At 39.2% G+C, this 12431-nt stretch overlaps 1 annotated feature.

Moving 5' to 3' along the window:
- Positions 10691–11400: an enhancer, noted in NCBI's record as "NANOG-H3K27ac-H3K4me1 hESC enhancer chr4:190058020-190058729 (GRCh37/hg19 assembly coordinates)". NCBI's record gives its function as "activates a minimal SCP1, AML or CMV promoter by ChIP-STARR-seq in primed H9 embryonic stem cells {active_cell/tissue: H9 hESC(primed)}" and the evidence as "EXISTENCE:reporter gene assay evidence [ECO:0000049][PMID:30033119]".

The raw sequence follows: 12431 nt of genomic DNA on the forward strand, positions 1-12431 counted from the left end.
GAGGATAATGGCCTCCAGCTCCATCCATGTTTCTGCAAAGGAGATGATCTCATTCTTTTTCATGGCTGCATAGTATTCCATGGTGTATATGTAACACATTTATTTTATCAATTCTAGCATTAATGAACATTTAGGTTGATTCCATGTCTTTGCTATTGTGAATAGTGTTACAATGAACATATGTGTGCATGTGTCTTTATTATAGAATGATGTGTATTACTTTGAGTGTATACCCAATAATGGGATTGTTAGGTCAAATGTTAGTTCTGTTTTTAAGTCTTTGAGGAATCACCTTTATCTTCCACAATGGTTAAACTAATTTATACCCCCATCAACAGTGTATAAGCATTCCTTTTTCTCTGCAATGTCACCAGCTTCTGTTATATTTGACTTTTTAATAATAGCATATTAGTCTGTTCTCTCACTGCTATAAAGAACTACCTAAGACTGGGTAATTTATGAGGAAAAGAGATTTAATTGGCTAATGATTCCACCAGCTGCACAGGAAGCCTGGCTGGGAAGGCCTCAGGAAACTTACAATCATGGTGGAAGGCGAAGGGGAAGCAGACACACCTTCACCTGGTGAAGCTGGAGAGAGAGAGAGTGAAGGGGGAAGTGATACAAACAACCAGATCTCATGAGAACTCACTCACTGTCATGAGAACAGGGAGGAGGAGTCCACCCCCATGATCCAATCACCTCCCACCAGGCCCCTCCCCCAACACTGAGGGTTACAACTTGCCATGAGATTTAGGTGGGGACACAGAGCCAAACCATATCAAACAGCCATTCTGACTGGTGTTAAATGGTATCTCATTGTGGTTTTGATTTGCATGACTCTCACGATTGGTGATTTTGAGCTTATTTTCATATGATTGTTGGCCATATATATGCCTCCTTTTGAAAAGTGTCAGTTCATGTCCTTTGCTCACTTTTTAATGGAGTTGCTGGGGGGTGTTTTTTGTAAATTTGTTTAAGTTCCTTATAAATGCCAGATATTAGGTTTTTATCAGAGGCATATTTTACAAAATTTTTCTTCCATTCTGTAGGATGTCTGCTCACTATGTTCATAGTTTCCTTTGCTGTGCAGAAGCTAACAAGTTTAATTAAATCCCACTTGTCATTTTTGCTTTTGTTGCAATTGCTTTTAGTGTCTTTGTCATGAAATCTTTGCCCATTCCTATGTCCAAAATGGTATTGCCTAGGTTGTCTTCCAGTGTTTTTATACTTTTGGGTTTTATTTTTAAGTCTTTCATCCATCTTGAGTTAATTTTTGCATATGGTATAAGGAAGGGGTCTAGTTTCAATCTTTTGCATATGACTACCCAGTTATCCCAGCATGATTTATTGAATAGGGAATTTTTCCCCCATTGCTTGTTTCTGTCAGCTTTGTTGAAGATCATAGTTGTAGGTGTGCAGCCTTATTTCTGGGTTCTCTATCATATTATTTCAAAATCTTCTTGATTCTCTCTTTTCTGCCCACAGCAGGACATAAGAAATAGAACTCCTTTATGTCATTTTTCATATTTCCTCCTTGAATCAAAATTTGCTCCCCAAGTATTCAAGATTACTTAAGACAGAGAATTTGTACTAATTTATAAAGTACTGTACAAACCATCAGAAGAGAAACATTTTTGAGTATCTATTATGTGCAGCTATTTTATAAGAACTGTCACTCCTACTTGATGAATTAGGACACAGATTACTATGCAGACTCAGTAGCTTGATCATGATCAGTCGCCTGGTATGTGAAAAGCAGGGATCCGAGCCCAAGTTTGGCTATGCCCTTTGCATTCATTGTATTTCACTTACAAGTGGAGAGCCAGAGTTGGGCTGCAGAAACTGTAAACCTATAAGATCCACTGGCTTAACCAACTGCTAGCTTCTGTTCTACCATTACTTAAACCTCACTGGACAATCTACAATCAGACTTGCACTTGGATATAGAAAGATTTTATCTACTCTTAGGGAGAATACACAGTATATACCTATTGCCTAAAATTATAAAAATAAAATTATTTTCAAAGCCTTCGAACTTGAAAATAAATCAAAGGCATCATGGGTAAGAGTTATCTTTAGTACACTGATAGTTCAAATCAGTGTGCAGTCTATACTGTAAAATTAAAAATATAGAGGGTATAATTGCATAAAAATTAGTACATATCCCTTTCATTTAAATATTGCTAAACAAGTCAAATTGCCTTTTATTTAATCAATGAACCAAAATGATTTGAAATAGCAATATCATAAAGCTTTGCTGAGCAAGTGTTAAATCCATTTTTTCCAAAGCAATAAGCATACACACTTGGCTTTTTGTCATACATAACAAACGGTCGAATTTGAGCATCATGCCTGGACTTGTATGAGCAACCTCAAACCACACTTGAATAGAACGTCATAGTTAGAACTGGTGCAGGCAACGCATGTTTCAAAATACATGAGACATCAAAAGGAACCACCATCCCCATGCACAAGCCAGCTTGACCCATAACATTGGCTTTGATTTTGTAGGTGGGAGAGAGAAAGTAGGTGGGGCAGGATTTTTGTGTTGTTGTTTACTAAAACAATTTATAGACTTTGCAAAACTAGTATATTTAAATTGATTTTAGAATATTAGAAAAAGCAGAAGAAAGCAAACAGTTTCTGAAAGTATAATCGTCATGTATGTAATTTTCATAATAACACAAATGTGATGGTATTGGACAAAGTATTAAATATTAACATGCAACCACCTCATTGTAAGCAATTTAATTCAGTTCATTTGGCAACAAAACTACCTTGAGTATATGTTCAATAATGGTGCAGAAATGAAGTGACTGCCATTTTTAGAAGTGAAAATGTTTGTGCAACCAAATATTTGCTCTGAACTGTAAACTATAATAATGGAAACACCAAACTTCCAGAGTCCCAGCATGTGCAACGCTTCCAGGCTCAGCATAAAGCAGATCTGTAGTGGAGACCGATATATATTTGCTGGCCTATTACGTAAGGAGCAATAGGTAAAAGAATGTACGCTGTGCTTTTCAAAAGCATGGTGTAAAATCCCAAACATGAATCATTTATAGAGTATCAAAACGAGAACCTCAAAGAAGTAGTTGATGCTTGAATCGTATTTGAACAACCATATTTCTAAGTAACATGTAATTCAAGTCCTGTCATGTCTCAGAATTAATAGCCCAGATTCTTAATTCTTAGCGAGGTTGACAAATTATTCTTTCTTATGGCACCAGTCACACTTGATCATAAGTAGCATCTCTACCCATAACTCTCGTTCCGTCAAATTGAGCCTAAGTTTATTTGTCTAACACAAAACGCCAAAAGGTCTACAATGTGCAATGAATCAATGTTCTTCATTAATGAGTAAAATGTTTCCTGGGTGGAAAATGATTCTCCAGCTTCCAAATGACTTGAAACAAATACAAAGCCATGGTTGCTAAGCTACTATTTTACTTCCAGAGTAAATGTCTGCTGTCTAATCTTTTAGAAGCAGTAGTAAGTTGTTTTCAAGTCATTGAGCCAAAGGCATTGAAATGTGAAAGATTATATATATACATATATATATATTTCCCCCAAAATACTACATGTGGCTTTATAAGGATGCAGGATTATGTTAAAAGAGATTTTTTTCAATATATGCAATAAACAGCTTCTCTTTTGAAACTACTGAAGAATAAAATCCCATAATATCACATATATCATTTTGGTTCATTGATTAAATAAAAGGATATATATATATATATATATATATATATAAATATATATATATAAAAATATATATATATAAATATATATATATAAATATATATATATAAATATATATATATAAAAATATATATATATAAATATATATATATAAATATATATATATATAAATATATATATATATAAATATATATATATATAAAATCTTTCCTGTCATCATCATACCTATTTTTTTAAACCTTCTTAACTTGAGAAACTATCAAGAAAGTAAGGCATATTTCAGATAGTAGCTCTTATCAATGAAATAAAACATCTCAAAGCATGATGTAAGCAAAGCCTAAAGATCCTTTATGAAGGAAGATCAGTCTCTGAGAAGTAAATCCATGCTCTATCTTCCTTCACTGGAACAAACTCCACTCCCCCAAAATACTACCTGTGGCTTTATAAGGATGCAGGATTATGTTAAAAGAGATTTTTTCAATATATGCAATAAACAGCTTCTCTTTTCAAACTACTGAAGAATAAAATCCCATAATATCACAAGCTTAAAATTATATAAATATCTATCTATCTACTATCTATCTCTCTCTATATCTACTATCTAGCTAGCTAGCTAGCTACACACACACACACACACACACACACACACACAATGGCATTTATTTTGACAGTATATTTGAAAAAAAAAGTTGAAAACAAGACAATTACAGAGTTGTGTAGGTAATTGTGGAAATGTGTTTTGAAGTCCTTACTGAATATCTCTCTTAAAATGTCAGACTTCCTGCTTGGATTGAAGTGCTGTCAAGATGTGTGTTAACGGTTGCATCTCTCACTTGAATTCCCGAGCTTTACCTCACAACAGCAGTGCACAACCCTGGCACAGTTCTGTGGCTGCTGACTTTATGAAGGGTGATAAAGCATATAAAGCATTCTCCGCCCTCCCATCTGTCGGGCACAGCACAAAGCTGGAGACGATTGTGGAAAATTGAGTCTTGACAGTATCTTCCTCTTGCAGGCCTCAGATCGCTCAGGGCCTGCAATCATATTACACTTGATCCAACCGGACCAACTCTCAACATGCACAGAATGTAATTTCAGTTCTTAAGTGCTTTCCTGCGACAAGAAGAAGATCAAGAAGAAAACGAATGAGATCTTTCTTTTTTGGCTGAATTTAAAGGAATTACATGGATACCTTTGAGGAACGGAAATGGAAATGAGATCAGCTCCAGCCCTTAAGACATCATCTGGGCCGTATTTCTATATCAGTGTCTCAACTCTGCCTTGGAGAAAAGTGGATCAATTTCAATGCCTGACCCACTTAGGCCATTTCTGACAAGACCACAAATATTACAGTCATGGCTTCAGCTTTAATGCTACTTATGCTGTGGATCGCTGAACTCAGACAGATGCCCAGCTACTCATTTTACAGGCCAGTGAACATGGCATAGGCAGCTCTAACTTCAGCACTCTAGGAACTGGGACAGAGCTCCAGATATCACTACTAATCACCGCATCACCCAAACCAATGTTAGAGTCTGAATTTTTAACGGAAAATTCAGCTACTGCTTCTAGTTGAATGCCAACACATTTTAAACATTTTCTAGAAGACTAAAGTTACCAATATGCTATATAATATAAAAATCAAATATAAAGAATAATACATTTGTTTTCTTTGCTATCTGCATTACACATATGCAAACATATGTATGCAAGTTCAATAATTCAAGGGCAGGTGAGAACCAATAACAATGCAACAGAAGGGCTAATAGTCACTGAATTAGTCCGTGAAGTCCATGCAGGAGATTTAACAACGTCCTCAGGATTCCCTCCTTCGAGCTGCATTAGTGTGCTTCTCAGTAGCAATAAAGCACTGGTAATTTTGCAGAGTATACAATTTTAAAGGTTGTGATCAGTCACTCTGCTAAGAAAACTTTGCAATTATATGTCCAATAAACAATCAGATGTGTGTATTATAAATGGAAAGATTTCACCTATCCTTTTCTATTCTATCCTATTCATAAGCTGACTAATGTGTTTGTGATGTTTACATGTAAAGGCAGGTGGGTACTCATAGCTTACAGGTGTATTTCTCAACAGTGTTGGAAAGTACAAACTCCAGGCCAGGCATGGTGGCTCACGTCTGTAATCCCAGCACTTTCGGAGGCCGAGGTGGGTGGATCACAACGTCAGGAGTTTGAGACCAGCCTGGCCAACATGGTGAAACCCCATCTCTACTAAAAATACAAAAATTAGCCGGGCACGCTGGTGTGCCCCTGTAATCCCGGCTACTTGGGAGGCTGAGGCAGAAGAATCACTTGAACCTGGGAGGCAGAAGTTGTAGTGAGCTGAGATCGCGCCACTGCACTCCAGCCTGAGCAACGGAGTGAGGCTTTGGAAAAAAAAAAGTACAAAGTCCAGTACTCCATCTATCTGTTATTTTGACTACAAAATGTAACCCTATATAGCAGAGTCCATCACACACATTGCTTTACTGAACTTCCTCAAGATTTACGAGATAAGCAGAGGTTGATGTCTTTATTTTACAATAATGAAAGTGGTAAGAATCTAAATTATTCCCTCTTATTTAATACTCATAAGTAATGTCAACACTTGAAATTCCTTCTTCTCTTCCAATTCTAGAGCTTTCTCTATAACATTATTCTGCATCGCAGCCCAAGATGTTAATCCAATGGTCTTTTGATTGTGTATGACAGAAATTTAACGCTGAAAAACTTGGGGGAAAATATACTGGTTTATTGACTCACAAAATTGCATAGTCCAGGAGTATATATGGCTTCTGGCACAATCAGATCCAGGTGCTTAAAGAATTCCATTGAGTTTTTTCTGTCACTCCATTTTGGGAACTATTGATCTTTTAGCATTATATTTAAGTAGCTCCACATTTGGTGAAAAAGTTGACCCTCAATATGTCCTTCAGGTTCTTGATACCAAAGGAAAAGGCTACCTCTGATACACTTTGTATGTGTGTTCCCTCCAAATCTCACATAGAAATGTGACCCCAATGTTAGAGGTGGGGCTGGTGGGAGGTGTTTGGGTTATGGGAGTGGATCCTTCATAAATGGCTTGTTGTCATCCCCTTGGTGATGAGTGAGTTTTCACACTATTTGTTCACACAAGAGCTGGTTGTTTAAAAGAGGCTTGCACCTGTCCCTCCCACTCCCTGTCTTGCCATGTGACACACTGCTCCCCCTTTGCCTTCCGCCATGATTGGAAGCTCCCTGTGGCCTCACAAGAAGTAGATGGCAGCACTACACTTCCTGTACAGCATGCAGAACCATGAGCCAAGTAAACCTCTTTTCATTATAAATTACCCAGTCTCAGATATCCCTTTATAGCAATACAAAACAAACTAATGCAGCCTCTGATACCCCAAATCTACATATCTCATCTTTGAGAACTATCAGCTGCATTTGAACCATATGCTCTTTTCTGACGTAAACACAGTGGTGAGAAAGTCGGGGCTCTGTTTCACACCTGAGCTATATGTCAACTCCCCAGAGTATGGGAAGAGATGGTATGCAGCATCACTTTACTTAAGCCATATGAGGTACATTTCCCTTGAAAAAAAATGTTCTGCTATTGTAAGAAGTGGAGATATTATACCCACCAGCACCGCTCACACACAGTCGTGCTCCACAGTCTCTCCGAATCCAACATTTTACTGCTGCTTCCTCCTTTCTTTTTAACACTTAACATTTTTACTTTGAAAATGTGTGCTTTACCCCAAACCTCAGTGTCATGCAACACACCATGGAACAAACCTGCACGTGTAACTCCTGAATCTAAAATGAAAGTTGAAATTGAAAAATAAAAAGTATGCTAAAGTCAATATGTAGATATTTCCCAGTCATTTCCTGAAGTAATAATAGCTAGCACTTATTGAGTATTTACAGTGCTCCAGTCACTGCCCTGATACTTTCTTTACAATGATTGACCATTTTAATATGAAAATAATTTAATGTGGCAGGTATGTGTTTCATACTCATTTTACAATTTGAAACTCTCTATTTTAGAGATTAAGAAAGTATCCCAGGGCCAGTCTGCCAGCGAATAGCAGAGCCAGGATTCTGACTCTGGCAGTCTGACTCCAGAATTCACACTCTTCACACCACACAACACATGCAGTGGTAGACCCTGGGGAAGGTCTTAAACATGGTGGGCGATTACGCACTCTCTCTTGCTGTGTGTGTGTGTTTTAGTCATGGTAGTAAACGAGGAGTGTGAAGCCACCAGGTTCCGCTGCAGCCCCTTTGCTGCTGGGCTTGAAGTAACTCTGAATGAAGACGGTATCAGAGATGTCAACATTTTAAAGTGCTCAAGTTTTTTATAAATTCCCGGTGGCAGCAGGGAAATAGGTGAGCAGGTTTTAGGAGACGTTAGCCCCATTCCAAGGAATGCATACCTTAAAATATAGAAAAGTCCAAACCTAAATAGGTCAGCTTGCTAACAATAGTGGTTTTCTTTTTTACTGTGAAATATTTTGAGGATTGTTTGCTTTGTATACAAGTCAAAAAATGTCATGTAAAAAATATTTCCGAAAATTTTGCTGCTAATCATGATGAATTTGTAATCCAGAAACTAAAAGGAGAGCAAATGGCATTTATCATAAATAAAACATATGCAGGGCGAATTAGAAATAATTATGGAGGAGAAATTCTACATCAGGGACTTCAATTTATTGACATAAAAATTTAAGATAGAAAATTAAATAGACATCGTATAATTATAATGCTAAACCATGACCAAAACAGCTTAATATTTTTAACAGGAATACTTGTTGAATCTGATCAGCTCATTTTCATCTTATTCAAAATCCTGGAATTGCTTTTGTTAACAATAGTTTATAAAGATGTATTTGTATGCACTACTTCTCATTAAATATCTGTCAAAAAGGAAGAATGCGAAAATCTGGGAGATGGGGGAACAGATCGGCCCCACCTTGTGCTACTAATTTGGCCACAAGCATTGTGCTGTGATTTGGTATGCCAGACAATCAACAATTTTCTGAGCATCTATTAGTTTGTCATTAGAAAAATTCCAGTTATTATACTTGGCAATCTTTTGTTTGCCCGCTTCCAACCCCTGGTACAAATATAACTTGAATTTCTAGTGTCCCCTTGGTAGATTAAGAATGAGACACATTATCTTGTTCCAGTGGTGGCACTAGGCCCACTCTTCCCTGCATGGACAAAATCCACAAAAGTCACAGTAATTTTATAATGTTTTTCTTGGGATGCGCATAAAATACAGGTAGCATGGTCATTTTACCTTGAAATGCATTCTGAATGTGTTTATTGAATATTTTCTGGTTTTCTTATTCTTGTCATTTTTAAACATCTTACTAATTCCAAAGTTCTTTTTTCTTTCTTTTTTAATTATCAAAGTATTTTAGGGTACTCCTGCCCACTTTGGCAGGACCTGGGGAAACAGCCTCCTAAGCAGTGTTTCTGTTTCTGGTACACATCCTGGAAGTCATTTTATTGGTTCTTTTTTTAATTGCGCTAAGCTTGCCCCAGTACTTGCATTATCAGCAAGTGTTTATAAGCATATACTACGTACAAAGAACCACACAGCGCTAAGTCTTGGCCGAGTTCCTGGTATTAACATGTATTTTCCAGGTACATGTAATACTGTCCTCTGGCTGAGGGTCTACCAGTTTAAAGGTAAGAACTCTATCTCCCCAAGCCCCTTTCCTCTCTGAGGAGCCCTGAATTATTAAACGTGTTTTCTGCAGGACCATAACAGTTTTCCTCTTCCCATATTTATGTTGTTCTTCCTGGGACGTTCCCATAACCCGATGGGATTCCCTTCCAACAAGCTAATACAACCACTTCAGGTGGTAGTTGTTCCTGTTGTGGCTTGGTTACAACATCCTTTCACTTACCATACACATTATCTCCATCCCTGAAATTGACACACAATAGCTACTAGTTTTATTCTAGCTTCTTCTACACACACACACATACACATTTGCATTGGTGAGAGGGCAGAAACAACCTCAGCCCATTGATACCCCACCAGTATTACCCAAACAAACCTGCATATCCTGATTTATTGTCTCCATAAAGATTTTCTCCTCTCTGAAAGTTACTAGAGAGAAAGAGGTAAGTAGCACTTATCCACTGCCTCTGGATGTGATAAAGAGTTTAATGCTAAGTATTGGTTGCCATCTCCGATATATTTCATCACTGTGGCTCACATAAGGTGTACCAGGATATCATGAAAATAGAGTGTCTAATAACCTATCCTAAACAAACTTCAATTGCACCTTCTAAAATTCCCTCCACATACAAATAATTAAATATACAGCCCCTTTTTTCAAAGAGTTTTGTGGTTAAGAGGGAGCAGGACAGGCAATTTTTCTCAAGGAATGACGTTTTCATAAGAACAAGTCCTATAATTCAATACTGAGCACAAAAGGATTGCAGGGACTACTGAGTCAGTGGTTAAGTTTAAATATTCACTATGATGGCTACTCTGTCATTATAAAGGAAAATCTACCACTAACCAGAATGCCTGAAGAATATGAGGGCTTTGAGTTACATGTCTGTCTAAGAGCATAGGAGAAACAAATTTAAGTGGACATTGGTACATGGATGAAGGAATACAATATTACAGTTCAGTCACTTTAAAAATTACTGTTTGATATGGCTTGGCTGTGTCCCCACCCAAATCTCATCTTGAACTGTAGCTTCCATAATTCCCACGTGTTGTGGGTGGGCCCCAGTGGGAGGCAATTGAATCATGGGAGCAGTTTCCCGCACACTATTCTCCTGGTAGTGAATAAGTCTCATGAGATCTGATGGTTGTATAAGGGGAAATCCTTTGGCTTGGTTCTCATTCTCTTCTTGCCTGCCGCCATGTAAGATGGCTCTTGCCCTTCCACCATGATTGTGAGGCCTCCCCAGCCACGTGGAACCATGAGTCCATTAAACTTCTTTCCTTTATAAATTACCCAGTCTAGCAATCAGCGAGACTCCGTGGGCGTAGGACCCTCCGAGCCAGTTCTTAAGATCTGCTATGAAAAATAGATAAGGATTTTGAAGTTATCCATGGACTTTTGGAGTATTGTTAATAAGAAGTCCAGAATCATCATGACTTTCAGTCTTTGATATGTGACTTGTTCTTTCTAGAACCTTATGGGAAGAGTCATGCTCCCTTTTCACTTCAAAGTGAGTGGACAGAGTGGAGCCAAGATGGCCGAATAGGAACAGCTCCGGTCTACAGCTCCCAGCGTGAGCGACGCAGAGGACGGGTGATTTCTGCATTTCCATCTGAGGTACCGGGTTCATCTCACTAGGGAGTGCCAGACAGTGGGCGCAGGCCAGTGTGTGCGCGCACCGTGCGCGAGCCGAAGCAGGGCGAGGCATTGCCTCACCTGGGAAGCGCAAGGGGTCAGGGAGTTCCCTTTCCGAGTCAAAGAAAGGGGTGACGGACGCACCTGGAAAATCGGGTCACTCCCACCCGAATATTGCGCTTTTCAGACCGGCTTAAGAAACGGCGCACCACGAGACTATATCCCACACCTGGCTCAGAGGGTCCTACGCCCACGGAATCTCGCTGATTGCTAGCACAGCAGTCTGAGATCAAACTGCAAGGCGGCAGCGAGGCTGGGGGAGGGGCGCCCGCCATTGCCCAGGCTTGCTTAGGTAAACAAAGCAGCCGGGAAGCTCGAACTGGGTGGAGCCCACCACAGCTCAAGGAGGCCTGCCTGCCTCTGTAGGCTCCACCTCTGGGGGCAGGGCACAGACAAACAAAAAGAGCAGTAACCTCTGCAGACTTAAGTGTCCCTGTCTGACAGCTTTGAAGAGAGCAGTGGTTCTCCCAGCACGCAGCTGGAGATCTGAGAACGGGCAGACTGCCTCCTCAAGTGGGTCCCTGACCCCTGACCCCCGAGCAGCCTAACTGGGAGGCACCCCCCAGCAGGGGCACACTGACACCTCACACGGCAGGGTATTCCAACAGACCTGCAGCTGAGGGTCCTGTCTGTTAGAAGGAAAACTAACAACCAGAAAGGACATCTACACCGAAAACCCATCTGTACATCACCATCATCAAAGACCAAAAGTAGATAAAACCACAAAGATGGGGAAAAAACAGAACAGAAAAACTGGAAACTCTAAAACGCAGAGCGCCTCTCCTCCTCCAAAGGAACGCAGTTCCTCACCAGCAACAGAACAAAGCTGGATGGAGAATGATTTTGACGAGCTGAGAGAAGAAGGCTTCAGACGATCAAATTACTCTGAGCTACGGGAGGACATTCAAACCAAAGGCAAAGAAGTTGAAAACTTTGAAAAAAATTTAGAAGAATGTATAACTAGAATAACCAATACAGAGAAGTGCTTAAAGGAGCTGATGGAGCTGAAAACCAAGGCTCGAGAACTACGTGAAGAATGCAGAAGCCTCAGGAGCCGATGCGATCAACTGGAAGAAAGGGTATCAGTAATGGAAGATGAAATGAATGAAATGAAGCGAGAAGGGAAGTTTAGAGAAAAAAGAATAAAAAGAAATGAGCAAAGCCTCCAAGAAATATGGGACTATGTGAAAAGACCAAATCTACGTCTGATTGGTGTACCTGAAAGTGATGTGGAGAATGGAACCAAGTTGGAAAACACTCTGCAGGATATTATCCAGGAGAACTTCCCCAATCTAGCAAGGCAGGCCAACGTTCAGATTCAGGAAATACAGAGAACGCCACAAAGATACTC

Source organism: Homo sapiens, chromosome 4 (assembly GCF_000001405.40).
Source record: "Homo sapiens chromosome 4, GRCh38.p14 Primary Assembly".
In the NCBI taxonomy this organism is placed as follows: Eukaryota; Metazoa; Chordata; class Mammalia; order Primates; family Hominidae; genus Homo; species Homo sapiens.